We start from the raw sequence: 26,592 nt of genomic DNA, 5'->3' as shown, positions 1-26,592 counted from the left end.
TAAGTTATTTGTAAATTCTACTGCCACAAATGATACAAACTATAATAAATGTTATTGTTCATTCAGGATTTGTCAATTAAACAAATGCCTTTTAGTTTATTAACTGCATAAAGTTATTTCCCCAAAAAGGCATTGTTTACTGCTTTATGCTTGGCTTTTGAAGTCCAAGGTCCCTCTTGCCTTGGCAGACTGTGACATTAGTCTCAGCTCCTGCTTAGTCTAACATTTTCATTTTCAGAAAGCCAGTGGTAAATCAAGCTGAGAGCCAGATCCCAGTCAAAAATTGATTGAGTAAGGCGTTGTAACTCACCAGTTAGAATGCTACCTTTTTTGCTTTATAGTGTAACCTCTTCAGCAATCACCAAAAAAGGACACACACACACAAACACACCCCCCACACACACTCCCCCAGCCCCCTTTCTCTTTCTCCCTCTCTCTCTCTTTCTCTTTGACACATATGTCTTGGAGGAGAGTATCAATAGATAAAATGCAGGCATTTGAGATATGATAATTCAAAGGGCAGAAATTTAAAAAAATGTGTTCCTTAATAGCAAATGGACTTTTTCTAAAACATGTTCTTCCTGAAAGGTAAAAAATATGTTGGATATTATATTCTTTTATGTTGACTTTTACTTAGGATCTAAAAAGTTAAAGCTATGTATCTCTATAAGACAAATGACTATTTTTTTACTTGAATTCATAACTCTCAAGCATCCTGTATGTGCACAATAAATGATGAGTAAATTGAATTCTATAACCTCTCATACCATCAGGGAATTAATAGCAAATGATTCTAGGAAAGAAGATAATGAGCTCATTTATTAGTTTTTTTTTTTTTTGCTTGGGAGCCAGCTTAGATTTCAAAAGCTCTCCTCATCCTCCTCATTTTGAAAGCTCCCTTTCTCCTTTCTCCTTTCTCTGTTGTCCTTTTTCTTCTCCTCCTCTCCTCTTCCTCCTCCATTTCAAAAGCTCTCCTTCTCCCCCTCCTCCTCTTTCAGTTAAAGAAACCAACTGAAACATTAGCAAAGAGAAATTCATACTATCTGACGACCCCGCTGGGGAAAGTTTCCTCACTGCAATGTCAGTGGCATGAAATTTGTGCTCCTCTCCCTCCCACGTATGTCATTGTTTCATTTGCCCACCGTATCTGAAATACTCTCTGCTACTTTAATAACTTAATAATGTGATATAGGGAAAGAGTATCAGACTTAAACCCCTCAAGAAAGCTGAACTCTAGCCTCAGCTTTGGTACTGTGCTGGCAATGGCCCTGGGGTCCCTGAACTCCTCTGAGCTTGTGTTTGCTTACACGCAAAAGGAATGAATCATGTTCAACTAGAGAGTGGTTATGTGGATCCCCTGAGAAAGTTCAACTAGAGAGTGGTTATGTGGATCACCTGAGGAATGCTTGTACATGTGACAGCATTTTATAAGCTGTAAAGCTCGACACAATGCGAGACAATATTATCATTGCTCCCTATCTTCACTACAAGTTTTCTGCCATGAAACTCTGCTAAAAGATAATCTGTGATGACTCGTAGCCTGCCAGGGAATACTTTCTCTTGTGTTGAATTCTCTTTTCTCTCTCTCCCACCCTACACCTTCCCCTTCTTCAGGTGTTAATTGCTGGTTTGCGTGGCAGTCAAGATTTCAATGGCCACGTTATCATTTTAAAACTCAGGGAAGCGATGTCTACTGTTGAAAAGGAGATAAAATGAAATGAAGTACCACCACTCAACTTTGCCCAAGTCACTGAATTTTCTCGATTTGACTTGAAGACTCTATTTTCCTTTAAGAGGCAAGTGGATTGGTAATCAGCAAGATCATAGCTTTAATACAAGCTAAATAGCTGCCCTTTGTTTTTTCTTTTAACATGATATATGTGGTTGGGAGGATAGACAGAACAGTCAAGGCACAAACAGCATAAGAAAGTACAGTTGACCTTTGAACAACATGAATTTGAACTGTATGCGTCCACTTATACTTAGATTTTCTTCTGCCTCTGCCACCCCCGAGGCAGTAAGACCAACCCCTCCTTCTTCCTCAGCCTCCCCAACATGAAGGCTATGAGGATGAAGACCTTTATGATGATCCACCTCCACTTAATCAATAGTAAACATATTTTCCCTTTCTTATGATTTTCTTATTAGTTTTTATTATTATATATATATTTTTTGAGGCAGGGTCTCACTTTGTCACCCAGGCTAGAGTGCAGTGGCATGATCTTGCTCACTGCAGTCTTGACCTCCTGGTCTCAAGAGATCCTCCGACCTCAGGTAGCTGAGACTACAGGTGCATGCCACCACGCCTGGCTAATTTTTTGTAATTTTTTTCTTTTTTGGTAGAGATGGAGTTTTCCCATGTTGCCCAGGCTGGTCTGGCACTTCTGGGCTCAGGTGATCCACCCACCTCGGCCTCCCAAAGTGCTTGGATTACAAACATGAGCCATTGTGCCCAGCCATGATTTTCTTAAAAATATATTCTTTTCTCTAGCTTACTTTAAGAGTACAGTATATAAAAATATAACATACACAATATGTGTTAAGGCGGCCAGTCAATGGTAGGCCATTTGTAGCTAAGTTTTTGGGGAGTTGAAAGTTATACAAGAATTTTCAACTATGCAGGTTGGTGCCCTGAACCCTTGGGTTGTTCAATGTTCAAGTATAATGCTTTTCTTATTTCTTAAAGGGGAACTTTGCTGCCTGGGGGATGTTGATCCTCATTGACCCCTAATACCTCTGACCCCTCAAAAAGCCTCATGCTCTAGAATAATAAGGAAATGAGCCAGATTTTTATGTTTCACAATTTATGAAAACAAAACAATCCAGCATGCTAAAGCTTTGTGTAACTGTATTTTAAAGCAGGATTTTCTCTACATTTCCTCTTTTGTGCTTCTTTTCTGATTTGTACTCATAAGTAGTAGAAAGCATTAAGATGAGATTATTTTCCAGAAATGATTGTTTTCTGTGAGAACTCAAAATATGTTGATTAAAAGATATATAGTTGGTTAAAAAAAGAATGTCATTACATATAATTTTTCTGTCCCTATATTATCACATTTCTCTCTATAGCTGATATTTTTGTGAATGGTTGCAATCAACAATCTCAGGTTTTAAATGATTTCTCTTTTGCTGAACACTTGAATTGTCTGTACAATGTAGCTTCTTAGCAATTTTAAGAAAAATAAATTTGTTTTCCATTGGCCAAATCTGTTTGCCTTTTTCTCATTTTGTTTCAAACTTTCTTCTACTGAGACCCTAAATAATGTCTGATTTTAATTTGTAAAAGTCTCAAAGGAACCAGCTTTCATGATACAATATTATTTGTTATATCTTTTCTTATTTTTCTTGTTAGTTTGTGCACGGACCACCATGTTGTCTTTAGTTCCCTTGTTTTGCACTAAGGAAGCTTGAGTTTTCTTCTTTTGTATCATAAAATATTTGTGCCATTTTGATATGAAATTTCCAGAGGTAGTTTTCATAGAAAGACTTTCATAACACACTTGGTTTATATGTTTACTATCTAAAACATCCTTGAACTTTAAAGACATTAGATTTTCCATTGTTAAGCTAATGCTGCAAAACACTATCAAAGATATTCATATCAAACCATTGCATCAATCAATTGGGAGGCATAGAAATCAAATGTCAACATGGAGACTATAGTTAATATAATACTGTATACTTAAAATTGGCTAAGGGAATAGATCTTAAATGTTCTCATCACACACACACAAATACACATACACACAAATGGTAACTATGTGAGGTAATGGATATGCTAATTAACATGATAGTAATCATTTCACAACGTATATCAAAATATCATATTGTACTCCCTAAGTATATATAATTTTTGTCAATTATACCTCAATAAAGCTGGAAAAATTGGAAGGTAGTTTTTAGATAACAAGGTGGTTTTTTAATATTCTGTGCTCACTGTAGCTTAATTCAAGTAGTATTTGGCTGTTTTTATGTGCAAAAATATGTGCTAGGCACTACTGGGTATATAAGGATGAGTAAGACATGTAGGCTAGGGTCTTGCAGAGTTTGCAAAGATGTAAGTATTCCAGAGTTTGCATTCGATATCTGAAGTGCTAATTGAAAGAGTAGGCCTGGGATCCAATTTGAAACACTGCTCAATATATTTAAGGTCAAAGTTCAACCTTAAACAAAGAATTAATTATTCTGCTCTTAAAAAGGTGAAACATTCAGGGTAATTAAATAATTAAATCAACAGTAATTTTCTCAAAATAAAACTTTGGTTCAATTATATAAGGAGATTACGATATTAATCCTAACTTAACTGTGATAACGATTCCTATTTAAAACCTTATTATAACCCAAGTGAAAAGATCATTTAAAAAATTGTTGGGTGCCTTAAACTTTCTTATTACAAACAAACAAGAGTTAACCGGATTCTATAATAACATTCATGGCAATTGAAATAATATAAACCCCAAATTGTACCATAAAGTGATGATGTTTTCAAATGAAAGGATAAATATCCTTAAATAGAGGGGAATCTACCAGTTGCCAGGGATCATCAAACAATGTGAGGTGTCGTGTGCATATTATTTTTCTTATAGTTAGAATAATAAAGGCAACTTCATATTTTTATATAAACTCATGCCCCGAATTGCTGTTAATGCATCAGACTCAGCTGCCTTCACTGCTTTGGCAGCATCTTCTGACCCATAATACTTGGCTTCACAACATTGGCCATCAGTGGGATCACCTGTTCACCTTTGGCTCTTCTTTCTCTCCATTTCACCTGTTCTTTGAAGGCACACTTCACAGCAGGGCACCTTCCCTCCTTACGTGGATCTTGCTTTAGTTCCTTACTGGTAAGTGTGATATCTTGGGCCCCGTTCTAAGCCTTTTCTGTGTATTAAGTTATTTAATTCTCACCTCAATAATTTTATGACTCCTTTCATTTAACAGTTGAGGAATCGAGGGGGCACAGGGAGATTAAATTACTTGCCTAATATTACACACGTAGTCAGAAGTGCAGCTGAGGCTGAAACATAGACAGTCTGCTCATGCTATGGACTTACACTCTCTAGCAAGTAATTGTTGAATGAATGAAAAGCATTTTCTCTCCAAATCTATTCCAAAAAGGCCATAACTGAGATAACTTCTTCAACTACCTTCTTAACTCCAATCTCCATTCCCTCTAGTGGGCATTAAATCCCATATTCAGAGTGATATTTCAAGCTTTTTATTATGCCCTTATCACTGCCCTCAAGTCCTTTGAAACACACCAACTCACCTAAAATATTTATTCATATTTTTATATGTATATATTTTAATCTTTTAAAATGCCTCTCTTTTTTGAGCATATATATTCTCTGTGAATAAAAAACTGGAAGAAATTATAAATGCTTTCCCTGGGAAATATTTTGGCATGCTTCTTTGCTTCTTATTCCAGGTCACATAATTTCAAATTTGACTCCTTACATGGGCCTTTGAGAATACCCATTACTTTTACTTATGTATTGATAATTGTGATAAAAAAGCTCTAATTTTCTTATGGGGAATTCTGTACTTCTTTTTGATCTTCAATTCTAGATGGAAAGAAAGGTTTGCAAAGAACGCTGATGTATTTAGCATGTTCATGACGGTTACATTTTATTGTCATCTTGGTAACTGGCAAAATAAAAGCTTGTAGGAAGATGGGAGTTTGCGCCCAGCAGCCTACACCAACACACACAGAGTTGCCCCCTCGAGGTTGCAATGGCACATTGACATCTAAACATAATCTCCTAATTTGATGAAGGCTGTCAAAGGGAGGACCCCTCCCGTATGTCTGTTTATTTTTGGTAAATGTGGGTGGAACATAAGGAAGACATTTTAAAATTTGGCTAGAGAGGTTGAGGCCTCTAAAAGTTAAATGTATAATTCTGGTTACAATGTATTCTTGGCTTTTCATATCAATGGAAATGAAAAACACCCATGGTTTAGGAATCTACTGATGCTTGATTACAGTATGTCAGGAATTTATTATCTGATTTTTGAAATAAAATTTAGTCAAAATTAAAATTAGGGATTTTTGTTCTACCAAAAAGAGACATGGACTCACATGTTCAATGCAGCATTATTCACAATAGCAAAGACATGGAATCAACCTAGGTGCCCATCAGTGGTAGACTGGATAAAGAAAATGTGGTCTGTATACACCATGGAATACTATGCAGCCATAAAAAAGAATGAAATCATGTCCTTTGTAACAACATGGATGCAGCTGGAGGCCATTATCCTAAGTGAATTAACACAAGAACAGAAAACCAAATATGGCATGTTCTCACTTATAAGCGGGAGCTAAACATCGGGTACTCATGGACGTAAGGATGGCAACAATAGGCACTGGGGACTACTAGAGTGGGGAGGGAGGTGGGAGGGAGAGGGGCAGGAGTTGAAAAACTAACTGTAGAGTACTATGCTCAGTACCTGGGTGATGGGATCAGCCATACCCCAAACCTCAGCTTCACGGAATATAATCAGCTAACAAACCTGTACATGTACTCTCTGAATCTAAAATGAAGTTGAAAACAATTAGAGATCTTGATTTTGAAAGAAATGTAAACTAGGATGTTGGCATTCAGCTTATTTATATTCTTATCTGCTACTACAGACCATATTATGACAAAAAAATGAAGAACTCTGGTGCAATCAGTATCTACGTGGTTTACTAATACTACGAACAAGTTATGCTGATCAATAAAGAAATACTTAACAATGCCTATAGAATAGACTCAAAGGGCTGTGCCCAAAATGAGCACGGGAGCCTCTCTAACCTTGCAACAACTTCTACCTCTGTTTAACTTGTTGGAGTGTGGAAGTAACAGCTACAGTGGGAACAAAAAGGATCCAAACTCTTCACTCTTTTCTTTACTTTGACTCCTTGTTTATTTATTTATTTATTTGAGACAGAGTCTCATTCTCTTGCCCAGGCTGGGAGTGCAGTAGCGAGATCTCGGCTCACTGCAACCTTTGCCTCCCAGGTTCAAGTGATTCTCACGCCTCAGTCTCCTGAGTAGCTGGGATTCCAGGCATGCGCTACCACGCCCGTCTAATTTTTGTATTTTTAGTAGAGATGGGGTTTTGCCATGTTGGCCAGGCTGGTCTCGAATTCCTGACCTCAAGTGATATGCCTGCCTCGGCCTCCCAAAGTGCTGGGATTACAGGCGTAAGCCACATGCCCAGCTCGATCCCTCCCTTTTGTTCAACAAACTAAATTCGAGCAGGAGGCTCTAGGATTCCACAGGCATGATGAAATGGAAGCCGGAGGATCTGGGATCGGTTCCTTGTGAGGCTTTCTCTGTTACTCTGCTGTGCGGCTGGCCAGGGTAAGAGTTACCTTGGCTTTATGATCAAGGCCAGACATTCTAACTTTTCTGCTTTCCACATGAGCTACTGTGCACAGAGGGAAGTTTAAGAGCCAGAAAATTGCTGCTATAGAAGACGTTTTCTTAGTATTAAATAGCAGATTGAAACTTTTGTCATTAAGAAAGTGAAATCAGTTGGTTTCACTTTCAGTGGAAACAAATGAGGATTATTGCCAATAATGGCTGTTGAGAAGTTACTTCTAGAAATATTTTCTAAGAAGTATATCCAATGAGCAAGTGTATGCATGCACTTTTTCTTAAATGTGCTAACTCATAGAAACATAAAAATGTTAGTTAAATGGCTGAGCATTAAATTTAAATGATGAAGACGAGAGATGTGCCCAAGGCACTTGCCCTGATTCAGGGAGAAAAGATTATTGCAGGTCATTGAACCAGAACGGAAGTTTAGAGAGGGTTATCAAGGGAAAGAAAAAGACGCTTAAAAAAAAATCACAATGACCAGAAAGATCACTAATTGCATATCTACTTTTAAAATGCTCACATGTAACTATTTTGAATACCACTAATGTGTTCTGGAAATTAAAAAGTGAAAGGAATGTGCATAACAATAAGGCAGACATTCGTGCAGCTCTTTAAAAGTAGCCTTTAAAAAAATTTTTTTTTCTCTACCTTTGGGTTTCACACAATAGATTCTCAATAAGTATTTGTGGTATTGCGTAGAATGCAATCATTGAACACCAACGCATGTTCCGGGTTTTTTTCACTTGTGCTTCAAAATGGCTTTGCAAAGTGGACATACAGGCGAGGGTGTATAACTGAGTAGCTAGGTGGTCAGACAGTATCGTCTGTCGGGGTCTTAGCAGTGTGAGACAATGGCCTGAAATACTTGACTGCTCTGAGCCTTAGTTTACTCATCTGTATGGAAACAATACCCATGCATTAGGGTTGCTGCGAGGATCCAACGAGATAACCCACTTGAAGCACTTAGGACAGGGTTTAGAACAAAGTAATGCTCGGAAAATATCAGCTATGACGATGCTTTCATCTGACATTGCTATTTGAAGCAACAAGTGGTTCAGAGACTCGCTGAATCACGCATGGAATTAGTGCCAGGAGGTTTCTATTCTTCAGCTTATGCTCTTTTTAGGAAAAAAAAATTAGTGTAAGAATTTAAAAAAGCAACATTTCAACGATGGCATCTTTTAAGTAACCTTTCAGAACGGATAAAATATTGCTTCATGTTTACTAATTTGGATCATGTAATTATAGTAACAAATAATTGCTCATTTCTAATTTTAAAGGTGTGTATGGCTGACAACTTTTATTTTTATGGTCCGTTAAAACGTTACTGTTTAATTATCTTGAGAAGAGTGGCTTCATTGAATTGGGTAGGCATTAATTTTAAAGACTGAGGATAAAGGCATATTGGGAAAGCCTGTACATTAAGGCCTCAAATAGAACCCACATTTTCATAATGTTTTTAAAAAAATACAGCCTATCAATTTTTTTGAAAACTATCCCCCCAAAACCAACACCAACTTCCATCAGAAAATACCTTTGAAAATATACAGTTTATTAAATTCCATAAAAACAGATTTCCTGGCATGTTACTAAAAATAGAAGCACCTCGAATGCGTTAGTGGAGGCTGGTCTTATGTATACATTGTGTGGAAGGAGGGGTTAAAGAACATTGTGGAAGATAAAATGGAGCAGATGGGAATTAAGTGTTGCTGTAGCTGTTGAATGGTACTGTGCAAATCTTCTGCCTAAAGTTAGGCATAATTCTGGTATTTTAAGTAAATTCATCTTTGTATTAATGAATGCCTATGTCTTCAAAATCTAATCTGTATCTACGTCTACCTGTGCTCTTTTTTTCTTATGGAATGTAATCTTAGACTATATACCAATCATCATCAAGAAATTGCTATGTTACATAAAACAGGCTAGAGAGTTACAGGGATCTCTGAAAATGTGGAATTATAAGGCTTCCCTCTATTTTTCTATTATATTAAGTTTACATAAGCCAAAGATAACCCAAGTGGATTTTGTACAAAAATAAAATACTCTTTTCTTTAGCCCCTGACAAGAAAATATGTACCTCTTTGTTTTCTGTGTCAGTGTTAGGACTCATTCACTCTGCTGGTTGTTCAATCTCTAAATCTCTCACTCTTTGAACTCCAGCTTTCGGACCTTTGGCTTCTTCATCCGATTAATTGGGAGGTCCTGGCAATTCTCCCTCTGCAGTATAAGCTAACACCGGCTCTGTCTTTAGATGGGGTTCAAACACCTAGGAAGCTCTGCTGAGCCCCCAGAGCCTGGTTGGCTCTTCTCCTTTTTATTTTGATAACACTTTGTGGATGCCCAATTTATCACTGAACTTGCCACATTCTGTTATCACGATTGGCAGTAACATCCTCCTAGGACAGTGGTTCCCAAATTTGGCAACATGTTAGAATCATAAATAATTAAAAACCAACTAAATCAGAATTTCTGGGGAGGTGAGACCCAGGGAAGGTATTTTTAAAAGCAGCACTTCTCAAATTTTAACATGCGTACGATTCACCTGGGGATCTTGTTAAAATGCAGATTTCTGATTCATTCAGATTGGAGGTGGGGCCCGAGACTCTGCCTTCCTAACAAGTTCCCAGGTGCCACAGATGCCACTCAAGCTAAAGCAGCTCCAAGCAGCCCCCAAATGGAGATGTGGTTTAGAAAACAATCACATCCCGTTTTTATATCTTAAACTCACGAACTCAGAAACTTACCCGACACAGGACCACTTATTTCTTCCTATCCTGTTACTTGTCCCTGCCACTACCATTTTAAGTGAGTGGTTGTTGACATTTTCTTATAAATCAGAATTTGGTTTGTCAATATTTCAGCTATAATGGGCTTTCTCCACTATTCCTCCCCACCTTGTCTTGTCCGTGTCTCTGCATTCATCTCACTGGCAACAGAACGCAGTGGAAGGCTGAGGAAGGTTAAGACAGAGGAGGAAGGTCTCGCTGCAGTTGCTTGTGCTTCAGTTGTAAAGCACCATCTTGTCTATTCTTGTCATTGGCTGTTGTGAACCCCACCGCCACCCACGACCCTCTCTTTTTTCCTCCCTTCTACACCTGAAAGCCTTTTGTTTCCCTCACTTACTCTCATTTTCCTCACTCCACCATCCTACGATGACTTATCACAAATTAATTTGTGTCATCATAATTTCAAATCAACACAAACAGATGTTTATAAGGTAAATATTTCTTTCTTCTATTTTAAGTGTTATTTTCTCAACAGCATTACTTTTCCTCAGTTAATGCTTCTATCCTTCCACATACAGATAGATCTTTTGAGTGTTAGGCACCCATGTTAAGCTCTGAGTGATTTTTATTTAGTAGTAATCTGCTTGAATGGCATGATTAAAGGTTCTATTAGCCTTGGTACACCTTTATATGTCAAGCGAACTATTCTAGTGGTTCCCAGAGTATGCACTGAGGCAACCTGGATTGCAGGGGGGAGCTGACCAGGAAATATTTAACAATTTTCAGGGATAGCCTGGTGTGGTGGTTCATGTCTGTAGTCTCAGCTAGTTGGGAGTTGGGGCAGGAGGACATCTTGAGCCCAGGAAGTCGAGGCTGCAGTAAGCGGAGACTGCGCTGCTGAACTTAAACCTGGGTGACAGAGCAAGACCCCAGCTCAAAAAAGAAGAAAAAATAAATAAAATAAAAAAAAGGAAGGAAAAGGAGGGAAATAAGCAGCACGTGACCTCTGCAGACCCCTTGCGAATTACTAGCTCAAGGTAATTCACAGTTTCAACAGTAGGTGGTGCTGCATTCCTTTCAATGATTTATATTTATAAAGCTGGGTTTTCCATAGTGGCTGTGATAAAAAGCAATTACAGTGGAAAAATCAAAGTGGAAAAGGAAATGAGAGGGCTGTGTTTGATCTGATTGAGAAATTGTGCTGTGCTCAAGAGATGCACACATACCATTTGTAAGTGTGGTTAAGAGTGAAATAATTTTTTTTGTCAATTTACGTGTATTATTTTTTCAAATAATTATTAAGTTGTTAGAACAAAAATTCTTATTAAGTTGTTTGAGTCTAACTATTTAATACATGGCACTATAAGGTATTTCTTTGAGCCTAAGGGCTCTGTGAACCAAGAAAGTTTTGGAACCTCTGCTCTGGTCTAATCGTTTTTTCCTGCCAAAAGTTTCCTGACCTAGTGGAGCTGGATAATCGCATCAGGTGTCTCTTTTATCCCAGATAAATTAAAGGTGGACCAACTTGTGGCCACAAATGAGGGGCAACTCTCTCCTTTATCTTTTTTAAAAATGTATTTTTTTCTATTATTTTTAATTGTGGTAAAAAATACTAGTCTAATTGTTTCATCTGTTTATATCATATAACTTCAAAGAGGAATTTGAGGAAATGCCATATCAACAGCTCAAAACCACCTCTAACGCGTGTCTGATACAGCCATGAGGCAACTTTGACAAATTCAGTTGTTGCCCTTGATTTTTTTTTCCAGCAAATATCTCATGTGTTATAACTACAAGGAGGAGAAGGAGGGGCAGCAGGGAAGGACAGGTGATGAAGAGGGAGGGAAATTTATCTAGCTGCCCATAAAATATCCAAATCCAACGAATCCAGTCAAAGCTGTGGTTGTAAAGAGATTTTGCCATGATTCTGTGTATTTTCCACTGAGCTTTGTTAATTACCTCAGTTTACTTCTGCAGTGATATGAAAGTCAATATGCCACTTCAATGTGTTGCACATGGATTTAGTAGAACATATACAACGGATTTTTTACCAATAATAGTAACTTCTTTATGCACCTACTTTGTCCCTGTCACTAGTGCCTTTATCACTTTACTGCAACTCCACCAGGTAGGCATTGCTGCATGCACTTTCTAGATGAAGAAATGAAAGCCCAGAAAGGTTAACAACCTGTCCTAGGTCACATAATTGGCAACTGGCAGCACTGTGACACATTCTCGGATCTGTTTGAGTCCACAGCTTGTAACTTTTCCCCATGGCAATATTCTCACAATTATAATTGTAAAACTGATTCTTACGAGGTTTTAGCCACTGCTGTTTCTAGTATCCTGAAATAACCTGCCCCCCCCGCTTTTTTTTTTTTTTTTAAGAATATGTGGCATTATAGATGTAAAATGGCATCACAATTGGAGAGGAAAACTGGAAAGGAAAAAGGGGAAACATCATTTAGATAAAGCACTTTTTAAAACTTAATCTTCTATGGCAACAATGCTATTTGTGTTGTAAAAAGTGCTTTAAAGATTTTAAGATGATGATTATTTTTTACAACCATCACCTGATTCACCTAGAGTTCTTCAGATTTCACAAAGGAAATGGAGTGAAGTACGAGTAGCTGAACTGTCTTTAGTAGTCACACAGAGTGTGAATTTCACAGCAAATACATGGCTAGATCCTTGGGGATCTGTGTTGACGTTCACCCCTTCACTGAATACTTCCTCTCTTACTTTATTCTACATTAATAATTCACATCATTGGAATACTTCCTGGTTACATCAGCCCAAGCCGTGGATGGCTTTCCTTCATTTACGGTGGTAAATACTTAAAGAGAATATTTACATATGGTTATTCAGGGATATTTGATCACAGATTGAAGTGTGAACATGCAGCCTTTGGAATCTGCAAAGTGTATGTTTTTTGCATGATATCCTAATATAGATGTCTTAAAATCATAGCTGTAATCACAAATGAATGCATTTTCTCATGTATCTTTTTATGTTCATTATCAGTTTGTTTATGAAGGGATGTGTGACAATGATTTTTAAAAAATCAACATTACCTTATGAGGCACAGAACCTGTAACCCTGGTTTTTTCTTTGACATCTTTTCAGTATGCAGATATTCTGCAACAAGGATGGAGCTGATGATAAAATTCCAACGAAACTCACGATGACAGGCTAACCAAGCTGTTTCCCTGACTCAGCTCCAGAATCTGTGAGGGCTATAATAAGTGATGCCTCCTCACTTTACTTTCTGGAGTCAATAAAATGGTCAGATGATATTTGGAAAGAGTACCTTTACATAAGCATTTTTCTCTTTTACAAATTTTGCCACAGTTAAATCAAAAGATTTTGAAATACCTGTTTTTTGCCAACTATTTGAGATAAGACTAAACAGTAGCAGCAGCAGCAGCTGCCAAATCTAAGGCAGTGGTGGGTTTTGACAGCAAAGGGCTCCATTTGGCCAGAGAATGGATGGTTCTATAGGTAGCAGAGTTAAGAAGTAGTTAATTTGAACTTGGCCAAAGGACTATAGCTCAGAACATTTGCTTTTAGAATGAGAGAAAAAGGAGACTTCCTTTCCTTACAGCTTAATCTCTCCATTCCGATTTTTAATACACCCTACTTTATAGAATAGCCAGACCACATTTTTTAAGCTACAGTAAAAATTAAAGGATTTATGATAATCCTATGCGGATGGTTGTGGGTGTTTCAACTGGAGCATTTTCTCTCTCTTTGTTGCAGGGCTAACATTTCTCAGCTTTTTGCTAGTCTTCTTCCCGAAACTACTCAAGTGGAAAAAAAAAAAGTCTTACCAGTTAAGCAACAATTCTTACTATATTGGGGAATAGTACACATCCTCCCCATCTATTTATTAGAAGTAACTTCTTCAGGCTTTAAACCCAGAATGTCAAAGCACTCAAAGGAATCCTACCTTGCCCACATACTGATAATCGGATCCTGTGTATTCCTCCAGGAGAAAGAACTGATTCCACATCCAGCTCCTTTTTGAACGGTTCAGCTCATTTTTGCTGTTTCCAGAGAGCTCCAGGGCCCTTTTCTTTGCTGGGAAACCACTAGTCCTCTTTGATAGTGGAGTTGAGAGAGTTGGGTAGGGCTGGCCCACCCAAAAGAGCAGCAAGAAGTAGCGGTAAGTTCTCATGCTGATGGCACCGTCGAGTCTGTGCGTAGTGAGTGCCCCACTCTTGGAAGTGCCTTTTTCACTGCACCGTATCCAGCCTCATTCCTCCTTCCTTCCTTAATGTTCTTTGCTTGGCTCTCAGAGGATATCTGGAAAGAATAATAACATAACAAGCATTTTTAGAGATGCTTAAAATTCAGTGTTAGAGCAAATAGGCTGGGAAAAAAGAGGACAGAAATTTGAATAGCAAAACAACAAAAAAAGTTGGCTATCAATTTTGAAACGAAGGAGACGGTCTTCCAGACATGCTAAATGGAAGGCATGTGCTGGGTAGGAAGCTGTTGTTTTCTTTCTCCTTTTCTACCGCTTAAAAATCCTATTTTAAGGAATAGTGTTGCCATAGGTCAATGTGCCAGAATGGATTATTGCGCTACTCTTTTACCTTGGAATATGTGGGCTGAGATCTGGTAGAAAAAATGAGTTTGTGTTTCTGATTCTATTTGCATATTTATCCTCATGAACAAGTTTAAGGCAAAGTATATCACAGACCATTTGAATTCAATTGAAAGTGGATAATGTTGAAATTTTGCTAAAATGTATTGAATCCCTGAGATGTGCCAGGCGTGAGTCAGGCAGAGCCAGCTCTGCAGACTCTTGGCTTCAGAGATGAGCTGTGATAGGACCTTTGGGTCAAATAAGGTTGGAAAAGACCATACACCTTCTTTTCGGAGTGCAGATTAGCATATCAAAGTGCCTGAAATAAAGTTTTTAAAGTGATATTTTGCAACAATAAAGATAAGCCTATACATATTTAATCCAGCATTTCCCAAACTTGACCAGAAAACTTTTTTTTTTTTCCTTAGAGGACCTAATAATACTATAGGATGGGTGATTCAGCAACCTATAGAATTTGTATTTAATAGACTGTAAGAATTAAATGAGCGATTCTATTCAAATTTCCTTAGGAAATCCTAAACTTTATCTATAAATTTTTGCCTGTATCATAAACAATCAAGCATATTTGTTAAAACTGGTAAAACTACAATGACATTTGTTATAACAAAAATTACAGTTGCACAGTTGCTAGGTCATTTTCACAGATGTGTCAAACATATCTAAGTACCAGTGAGGGCCATCAACTGTAAGAACTGTAACAAACTGTAACAAAAAAGTCAGCTATTATACTTTTGAGTGATACTTTTCCATGGGAAATATTAATTTTCAAAAACACAATCTACCATTAAAAAAATCCTGGTGGCCAGATTGCTTGGTACAGATGTCCCAAATTGGTTTACTAGTTTATGCAATTAAAGCCATATATGCCTATATCTCCTTTAGAAACTTTGCCACATTTTTGGGCGAAAAAAACAGTAAATTACTCCTTTGTCTTACTATTTGATATAGAAAAAACATTGTCTTGCCAGGCACAGTGGCTCATGCCTGTAATCCCAGCAAATTTGGGAGGCCGAGGTGGGCAGATCATGAGGTCAGGAGATCGAGACCATCCTGGCTAACATAATGAAACCCCGTCTCTACTAAAAAAATACAAAAAATTAGCCGGGCGTGGTGGCGGGCACCTGTAGTCCCAGCTACTTGGGAGGCTGAGGCAGGAGAATGGCGTGAACCCAGGAGACGGAGCTTGCAGTGAGCCAAGATTGCACCACTGCACTCCAGCCTGGGCGACAGAGTGAGACTCCATCTCAAAAAAAAAAAAAAAAAAAAAAACATTGTCTTAAATAATACTAACAACAACAACAACAAAAAGGAAGTGTTTTGTAATTCGGAATATAATAGTAATTGAACTGGTACATTTACTCTAAACCATGCAGATCAAGAACATGTTTTAGGTAATCTGATTAGTATTTTTTTCTCTACATCAGAAAAGATTGGTTCACTTGATTCTTGTCATTCTACCAGGTAAATGTATATGTGACAAGGTTTTTGTTTGTTTTACACTCCAGCAATGAGTAATTATAGCCACCTAATACATGGCTTAGTCAAAGCCTTCTATTGAAAGATAAGTGAAATATTTTATAGTATTCGGCATTTTAAATCCTTTATTCCATTATTATGCATCTTCTTGACAGCAGGCTGGGGAAGTTGTATATTCCACAGGTAAGTAAATTAGTACTGCGACAATTAGCCATACTGGAAAAATGCCAGGCAACAGTATACTTGTCATAATGCAGCCTTGGTACAGGGGTGGAATGACTGACGATCAATTAGGTACGAATGATTCTTCTCTCTCCTCATAGATGGTATATAAAAGGGACTGAGAGTGCATATGGAGAAAAGCCCTCTAAAGACATCTATTCATTTTTAGTAGCAGAGATTACACTGAGGTCGATTCTGTGGAAATTACATTTTTCTTAATTTCCCTCATTCTCCATTATTTGCAAAGACAAATCCTGCAGTGAAGAATTACACGTCTGCTGCTGCACTCTGTGAGCACCCCATGGTGCTGGCAGGAAAGAGGGATGCAGAGAATGGAGGTGTCAGCTGTTTAAAAGGCAGACTCCTGAAGGCCGTTTTAGAGAAAAATCGATCCCTGTGGGTGTTGTGTGCAAACTCTACAAGCTGTTGCCACTTGAATATTAAATATTAGTTCTTTTTAATATCACAGATACCAAAATGTCAAGTATTTCATTCTTTTTCTTAGTTGGTAATGAGATTTTAAGTGATAAAAATTTAAGTAGTATTTCCAAGTAGGCTACAACATCTAATTTTGCTACAACCCAGTTCTTTTTGTATCAACTTGACAGGGTGCATCCTTGCTAAAAACTTAATATATGTAATTGAATTACTATGATCAATATGCTCAAACTCATATTTGATGTTAGTTTTTTAGAGGGATAGATTTCTCTGTGAAATTCTATAGTTTTTTTAAAAAACCCCTTTAAACTGTTGAATATATAACTTAGCAATTCTCATTTACTATTTCTTAATAGGCAGGATTGCATAGTGGTTATGATCAACAGTGCTGGGGTCTGCAACATTAGTCTCTGTGAACCTGGGAAAATGGTTTCATTTCAATGTACCTCAGTTTCTTTATTCTGTAAATGGGATAATGATACTATCCACCTCATAGGGTGTTATAAGGATTAAATGAGGCATTACATGCAAACCATTTAGAACAGTGCCTGGCATTTGGTAAGGTATTAATAAGTATTAGGTATTCTAATCACTAATTATTGTTGTTATTCTCATTTGTATTGCATGTATAGAATCCATCTACAATACATTGCAAACATCTGCAGAAGATAGTTTATTGATCAGAAAACATCTCTAAGCAAGTCAAAATTTTCTTAAAATTAAAGAATAGAAACACTTGAAAAATCTAAAGTAATTTATATACTAATTGTTTTCTTTTGTGTGGACTTCAATTCAGCATTTAACAGTAGTGGTATAGAAACAGGGAAGGCAGAGATACTGTGTGACTTGTCACCACTGTTTGCATGAAGAAGAAGAATATGGGCCAAAAGAAAGTTCACTGGAGGATGGACTCATTCATAGAATCTATATTTTCTTCTTTCCATTTTATTACGTTAAGATTTTAAAAGTCATCTTTATTCAGGTGAAAGAAAATCAGAACTAGCTTTAACTTAGTAATTTTGCCCCTGTAAAAATGGTACAGGTAATTAACATACTGATATTATTCTAATGTTATATCAGAAAAGAATTTGATAAGTTAAAATGAATGATATCTGCTATGGTTTGAATATCTGCCCCCTCCAAAACTCATGTTGAAATTTAATCCCCCATGTGGCAGTATTAAGAGGTGGGGATTTTAAAACATGATTGGATTGTGAGGGTTCTTTCTGCCCTCATGAATGGATTAACTTGTTCATGGATTAATGGATTAATGGGTTATCATGAGAGTGGGAGTGGTGGCTTTATAAGAAGAGGAAGAGAGGCCAAGTGCAGTGGCTCATGCCTGTAATTCCAGCACTTTGGAAGGCCGAGGTGGGTGGATCGCCTGAGGTCAGGAGTTGGAGACCAGCCTGGCTAACATGGTGAAACCCCATCTCTACCAAAAAAAAAAAAAAAAAAAAAGACCCCAAAAAACAAAAATTAGCTGGGCATGGTGGCAGGTGCCTGTAATCCCAGCTACTCAGGAGGCTGAGGCAGGAGGCGCTTGAACCCAGGATGCGGAGGTTGCAGTGAGCAGAGATCATGCTATTGCACTCCAGCCTGGGCGACAAGAGCAAAACTGTCTGGAAAAAAAAAAAAAAAAAGAAGAGAGACCTGAATCACATGTTAGCATGCTGAGCCCCCTCACCATGTGATACTATGCAGAGAGTCCCCACCAGTAAGAAGGTCCTCACCAGATGTGGCACCTCGACCTTGCACTTAGTTTCTATAACTTTAAGAAATAAAATCCTTTTCTTTATAAATTATCCAGTTTCAGGTATTCTGTTATAAGCAATAGAAAATGAACTAAAACAATTTCCAAATTTTAGATTTTACTTAACCTGAAAAACCGTAAATGGGAAAAAAATTAGTATGCTGCAAGCATGCCCCTAAATGCAAAAAACAGGATTCTTACGGTGCAGAACGGTCATACGTTCAAGCAAAGGAAGACAATGGCCCGGAAGCAGCGCAACTTTGAGAACTGTGGGAAACGGTTGATTTCTGAGCAGGCAAAGTAGAGGGGAACCATGTGGTAAGTGGCAATCAGATGTGGTGGCTCATTTTGTAGATGTCAGGAAGTAAATGGAAAGGGGAAAGAAGTAAGGGCATGCTCAGATACTGAACTTAAAATAGCAGGCAGGGTTATTCAATCACAAAATACCTGAAGACTAGATGGTGGGAGGGAGGAAAAGCAAAACGAAGTAGATGTTGAACCTTTTTTCTGCCCTCACCCTACCCTGCATTCCCTCTTAGCATTAGGAGCCAACCAATTAGAAACATGAACAACTCGATAAAAATAAAACGTGAACTACCTAATTATAGTCTAATGACAGTTTAGCAGTGGACGTAAAAGGCTGCTTAATAGACTATGTCTCTTCTTTTCTTTTTGTTGGGATCTTAGTTTTTTGTGAGGAACTTTCTATTTTCTACAGGGAATCGTTTGTATGCTCGGAAATTTGATATGCAAAAGTGGTTGGTGGTCAAGAAAACTAGTTTGAATCTTTGCAGAACCCTGTTTTATTGATGACTAGAAGGTAATTGAGATGTTTATGGATAGTGGGGCAAGGCCCACATAGCTTTGGTAATTGCATACTTTGAACATTTATTTGCCTGGCAGCCAATATGCATATGTACTTCAATATCCACAAGAGTGCATGGTCAAGTCCAGATTTTATTTAATACGTGCCATTTTGGAGGAGCCTGGGCCTTATTAATTCAAGTCCTATCAAGATAGAATATGTGATAATTAATGCAAAGGCTGGGCTGACGTTTTCTTTTGATTAGCAAAATCTTTTTCCCTAGGTTATTGGAAATTAATAGTGCAAAAATATTTCATAGGGATATATAGAATGAGAAGACAAACTAGCATGTCCTCAAGTTCCCTAGTGTACTTTGGAATCAACTTTTATTCGCAAATAATTAATATGCTAATTAGAATTTTTTTTATTGATTGAATTGCTTCTCTGGTGACATGTTTGATAGCAGTTTGAATGACTCAAATGTATTATCTGGTTTTGAGATACTGATTTTATTACACTATTTGCAGACTAAGTAAATATAAGACAGATTTGAAAGCAATATAATTACGTTCAAGTTTTAAAATTTAGACTTGACATAGACTTGTTCTGGTGTTGTTGATTAATTCTAATCAGTGCAATATTACTATAATGCTATCTAGACTTACAAATTAAACCAAGCACATTTGTTCTTTAGTATGCGGAGCCTTAACTTTGGCATTGAAAGCACAATAAGCATTCAGTAAAGCAACGTTATTAATATACTTTAACCAGTTACCATAGTAAGAGAATGTTTTACAACCTATTATGAATTGTTTCTTCAGATAAATGGTGTTGCATACACATACTGTGGCATAGTACTTTACATTTCTGTAAATGTGGTCTATACTTAGATCATCCTACCCCATTGGATGATCTACACTTAACTCTTCCTAACCCATAAATATAGAACTCTTTTTAGCATAAGTATCATAAATACCTTATTACTTTTTGGTACATTTTCTTGCATTATATCATTAAGGAAGTAGAAAACAGCTGGTTATTTATGACTTTTTAACATCTCTCTTACTGCATTACAACTCTGAGCCTGAAATCTCAAGAGTCCTGCCCTGTCTTTGTGGGCAATGAGGATGAAGATGGTACTTAATCCATGAAAGCTCAGAAAATTAAGGAAACAGAATGAAAAAATAAGGAAGATGAATTAAACAGAGTGAAGCCAAAGGGAAACATGCCTTCCTACAAGTACATCTTAAAAAAAAATATGGTATTTATTCTGAGAGAAGAGTTTTACAGCCAATTAAGCTTGCTCAAGATCAATTTCCCGATAACCCAAGAAACTTTGTTTTGAATAGGTGGCCACCTGCTGTGAATAAAAATGTGTCTATAGAGCATGGCTGATCTTCTAGAAGTGGTATCATAAGGATAGAACCAATTTAAAAGTTTTGGTAGGGATTTCACATGAAGTCTTCATTTCTAAACCTCCATTTCATCTTTCTGTAAATGTCAAAGTCACTGTTGAGTAAAATTGGTTCCGTTTCGTGTGTGTAATGAACTCCACTGAAATGTGTCAAACAGCTTTGGCACCTCTCACCATGAAGCACTTCTCTTGTGCCAATGAATCATTATGGCAAGAGCCACCAAATGATGCCTGATATATATTTTTGTAAATGTTTATATTTGTGGATAATAGGCCAATCTGTTTGCAAACTGATGTATTTCCAGATGAAGCGATTTTAACAGGATTGCCCTTGTTCTGAAATCATATTCCACACATTGCATTAATAAAGATAAAATCCAATGTGTTACAGCACATAAAATGGCATTTTATATGTAGTTGGGGGCTGAAGTGAAATACTTGGAACAGAAAACAAAATGGATCAAAACTTAAATCAGAGCATAAAGACAAAGTTTTTCTACCACATGTGGGGGCAAAGTCCAAACTATTTAATTGTGAGAACTACTAAACTATTTAAATATGAGAATATGATGAAGAGCAGACTCCGGCATGCCACATGTCAAGGTGAGAATCTCAGCCCCGCACAACGCTGGCTGGACAAAGAGGGGACCAATTTGTGTCTCAGTTTCTTTACCTGTAAAATGGGATGACATTAATAGTACCTACCTCATAGGATAGCTGTGAGCATAAAAATGAATGAATTCATGTGAGGTCTTACTTATGAACATGAAGATGGCTACAGCTACTTAAACTGCCAAAGATCTTAGCAGACGACACATATAGGCCATCCTAGGGCCACACTTTGCCTCTTGTGCATTTTTTGTTATGCCTTTTATTCTACAATTAAGAAACTTAAGTCAGTTGCTACTCTTCAAGGAATCAATACATCCTCATTTGTGGATTAACTTGAAACCTCAAAAGTTCTGGTGGCCTTTATTTCTGGAGTGGAGGGAGCTGCTCCCACAGCAGTGCAAGGGCTTCCCGGGCTGCCACGGTCCCCACTGTCCTTCCTGTGCTCCCCTGCTGGGGCCTTATGTTCAAATGCCATTTGCCATCTCCCTTCCACTGGGGTTTTCCTAGACCTGCTTGCTTCATTCCTTTAAGCACCTTGCCTGGCTCTTGATGGCCCTTTGGGCACGTGGACCCTGTCTTTTCCCAAAAGATTTACTCATGCGAACAAAGAAGAAGAGAAAGCATTTTTATACTTTTAATTAGCTCTTCATGGTATGAATTTAAACATTTCTGTAGCAAACTATAGGTTTAGGTTGCAGAATTGTAGGAAAGACTGGGTTTCATATTATTCTCTGCTTAAATGTTAGGTTCTCTGGCAGCTACATTAATTCTTTTAGACACATGGCCATGGAAGACAATGAAGCTTAAACAAGACCGGGAGATGTTAAAACCCTCTTACAAATTAGCATGGATGATTTCTATGAGCTAGCTCTTCTTTTAACAGCTCAGTGAAAGGGCAGCCAGAGAGTATTGGCTGGCAGCTCTGGGCCTGCAGGAGATGAAGGTATCTTAGTGAGGATGGCAAGTCCAAAACAGAATTAACTTGATTAAATTGCAAAAGCAATCACATGGTTCAGTTTACCATTAAGTAATTGTGAACTTGGCATATCATAGATGATTTTTAGAGGCTAATACTTGCATAAAGTGTTACAAAGAGTAGAGATATTTAATTAATTTTGGATGATATATGTACGTCTTTTATCAATTACATGATGTCTAATTCATAAATAATAATACTGGTTAACATTGCTATATTCTACCCCTGAACTTGTTATGTGCTAGGCACCTTGCTAAGCCCATCACAAAGGTGCTTTCGTGAATTCTCGTGACAATCCTGAGAGGTGGATAACATTCTTCTGATTTCTGCAGATAAGAAACTGAAACTTAGGTCAAATAGCTTGTCCACGGTCATGCAGTGAGTATGTAATAAAGCCAGATCCCAATTCATGCATCAGACTAGGGTGCCCTCACTCTGAATGCACTCTAAGGGGGTGTGTGCCAGGCTGCTGCCCACATGACAAGTGCTCAATCTAGTTGTGGCCTTAGAATTGAGTCTTCATGAATTCCCTAAAAAATAACACCAACGGAGGTCTCCAAGAGGTAAAAAGAGTTGTTACAAAACTTACAAGCTAACTAAGAGCAGCAAACAAATGTGCCAGGTAATGGGATAAATGCTCTACACACATGGAAGTCTTGCAACAATCCTTTGTAATGGGGACCATTTTCTTTTCTTTTTTTTTTAAATTATACTTTAAGTTCTGGGGTACACGTGCAGAACATGCAGGTTTGTTTCATAGATATACACATGCCATGGTGGTTTGTTGCACCCATCAATCTGTCATCTACATTAGGTATTTCTCCTAATGCTATCCCTCCCCTAGCCCCTCACCCACAAACAGGCCCCGGTGTGTGATGTTCCCTTCCCTGTGTCCATGTGTTCCCATTGTTCAACTCCCACTTATGGGTGAGAACATGCGGTGTTTGGTTTTCTGTTCTTGTGTTAGTTTGCTGAGAATAATGATTTCCAGCGTCATCCATGTCCCTGCAAAGGACATGAACTCATCCTTTTTTATGGCTGCATAGCATTCTATGGTGTATATGTGCCACATTTTCTTTATCCAGTCTATCACTGATGGGCATTTGGGTTGGTTTCAAGTTTTTGCTATTGTGAACAGTGCCGCAGTAAACATATGTGTGCATGTGTCTTTATAGTAGAATAATTTATAATCATTTGGGTATATACCTATAAATGAGATTGCTGGGTCAAATGGTATTTCTAGTTCTAGATCCTTGAGGAATTGCCACATTGTCTTCCACAATGGTTGAACTAATTTACACTCCATGATGGGGACCATTTTCTTATCCTCTCTTTCAGAGAGATAAGAAACACAGACTTAGAGGGACTGAATACTTTGCCCAGAGTACATAGCTAGTGAGTGGCAGAACTTCGATAAAACCCAACTAACCTAGAGGCTCCTTCTTAGCTGTAATATCCACAATGTCATTTGTATTTTGCTCATGGAAACAGCATCTAGGTTGTATTTACTCTCATTTCAGACAAAATTTGAAAAAATTTATCATCAGGTTTTTAAATCCCCCACAAATTGAAGGGATGAGTGAGTGCTGGAGGCTGGATTATCAACATTAGTGGGAGGGGGTAGCTGAAAGGCACAGACAGAGTAGCTACAAAAGGCAGGCAGAAGAACTGAGCACAGAACAAAACAAGTCAGGGGCTGGTCTTGGGAGACTGATGAAGTCCTACATCCCAGTGCCAAGAACAGTGCCTGGCACATAGTAACACCAGATAAACATTTGTAAAATAAGCAAATGTATAGATGAATGCGTGCATGGCTGAATGTAAGAATGACTAAATGCGTGAATTGAAGATATGACTAATGACTATAAAAACGAACATGTGGCCAGGCGCGGTGGCTCACGCCTGTAATCCTAGCACTTTGGGAGGCTGAGACGGGTGGATCACGAGGTCAGGAGATCGGGACCATCCCGGCTAACACGGTGAAACCCCATCTCTACTAAAAATACAAAAAAATTAGCCGAGCGTGGTGGCGGGCACCTGTAGTCCCAGCTACTCTGGAGGCTGAGGCAGGAGAATGGCGTGAACCCGGGAGGCGGAGCTTGCAGTGAGCCGAGATCGCGCCACTGCACTCCACCTGGGCGACAGAGCAAGACTCCGTCTCAAAACAAACAAACAAACAAACATGCGAATACTTCACAGCACTTGGAGGTATCACCATGTTACAAATACAGCACACTGATATTCATAAAAATGACCTTGAACCATTAAGCAAAGGTCCAAGTTCTTTTGAATGTTTGGTTTGAAAAGGCATGGATGTGCAGAATAAATAAAAGGAAAATTACTGTCGAAAGTCGTGATAGTGGTATTTAGAAGAGCTGGGGTTTAGATCTTACTCTCTTTCTTCTCTTGTGATCTCAGACAAGCTATTCCACCTCTCTCGGCTCTTGTTTCTCATGTATACAATTAGGGCCGATGTGCTCATACCCAGGGATAGAATAGCAGTGTGTTTAGAAACACAGAGGCGGCCAGTTTACCAATTTTTATCCCAGTATCAATACTTATTAGCTATGAGACATTGGCAAGTAACTTGATACAATGTGTTCCAATTTCCTCTTCTTTAAATCAAGAATAGTAAAGTTTTGGGGTCTCAGGGGAGGCACCTGATAAATAGCATCTTCCTTTTTCTTCCAAACTCCAAAGATTAAGAAATACAGGAGTGTTGGATGAAGACCAATATATCACCTTTATTACTGAAAAACAAAAACAAAAGACAGCCAGGTTGGAAAGATGGCTTAGTGTAAGGGCCACGAAGGCTTGCTAAGAAAATCCCAGAATTAGGCAAGCTCTCCATGGAGTCGGAGTTACACTTTATTTTGCTCTTTCTTTTACAAAAGCACAAGTGGTTCTTATCTCTGGGTGGCAAGCTCCAATTCTAAGTTCCGAGCCAGAGGGAATGCCTTTCTGTTCCCACCCTTGGCCAGCTCAGTTACAGACCCCAAGGTCTGAAGAAAGTGATGGGGAGGAATCTGTTTTAATCCCCACTAATTAAAAAAGATCATTTGAGACATCAGTAATCCTGACAGCCAGTAAATCACTCATTACTTACCGACCGTTCCTGTATTTAAAGCTTTGCTTTTTGGAGTTGTTTACAACATCACTAAAATGAAAAAAAATGTATGAATAATTTAAAGATGGGGAATTTAAAGTTTCCCTGAAAATATCTTTCACTTCAGGTCAATCAATGCATTACAGGCCAAATGAATTCTTTTCTGTCTCTCTTCACCTTTCCCACTAAACACACACATACACACAGCAAAAAGGGATAGTGATTCTTCAGATACTTGCCTGTTAGCGTTGAAACACTACCATGACACTTCTCCCCCAAAAGGATAGCAGTATTTACAGAGGTGTAACCCTTTATGCCAAGTTATAATGGAAAGAAATAATCAAAGCTCCACTTGCTGTTTGGATAGCTTTGTTCATTCAATATGTTTTATGTAAGTTTATTTGCAGAGAATTCATAATGCAAATCAGATGCTTCTCATAATATCTTGGTATAATAACTTAGAATAATTAATGTAATAAATTTTGTATAATAACTTAAAGGGATACTGCAACACCAAAAGGTTTCTTCCCTGAGACTAACTATTAATAAGACAGAAGGGGGCTTGTGAAGGTGTGGACATCTTCACTAATTCAGGTTTGTGTTAACTGACCGTCAAATTAAACTTGCTCTAGACAGGAAGAGAATGTGTTTGAATGGGATGCTGGATGTTTTATCAATTTTGATTGCCTTAATTTAAAAACTTTAATTAGAACCTCTGTTTACTAGAGTCAAACTGCACATAAAATATCACGCAAAACATTTAAAAGAGAATTTTAATTATACCACCAAAGAAATGCCCTTGTTCGATGTTTACTAAACACTTGCCAGAACAAGTTAATTAATACATGTTTAAATATGTGAAAGAAGAAGGGAAGCAGAAAAAAATCACATTCGTCTTTTGTTGAGTTTTACTGCAGTTGTCAAAGACGCCCCATTTCTAATTTAACGACGGCACCGTCACAGTGCGCTTGTGTAATTATAAACAATGGGCACAAGAACGCAATGAGGGCCAAGGAAAAGCCAATTCCCACTGGGAGCTGTTGTTCAAAATAATTGCTCATTGTTGCTTGATGTTTCGAAGTAAT

The 26,592-nt window shown here is 37.9% G+C and overlaps 1 protein-coding gene across 4 annotated transcripts in view; it reads right to left on the bottom strand.

Moving 5' to 3' along the window:
* The window catches only part of CDH6 (cadherin 6), a 135,461-nt gene that overhangs the window by 47,403 nt on the left and 61,466 nt on the right, over nucleotides 1–26,592 (bottom strand). For all 4 annotated transcript variants that reach the window (XM_011513921.4, NM_004932.4, XM_047416591.1 and 1 more), the window contains exon 2: nucleotides 14,043–14,398. In XM_011513921.4, coding sequence (XP_011512223.1) covers nucleotides 14,043–14,270 — 228 coding nt within the window. In that variant the 5' untranslated portion in view covers nucleotides 14,271–14,398. The remainder of the gene's footprint in view (nucleotides 1–14,042; nucleotides 14,399–26,592) is intronic.

The sequence above is a fragment of the Homo sapiens genome, chromosome 5 (assembly GCF_000001405.40).
Source record: "Homo sapiens chromosome 5, GRCh38.p14 Primary Assembly".
Taxonomy (NCBI): Eukaryota; Metazoa; Chordata; class Mammalia; order Primates; family Hominidae; genus Homo; species Homo sapiens.
Note: the sequence above shows the minus strand (reverse complement) of the source record. Positions and strands in the feature narration are given on the sequence as shown.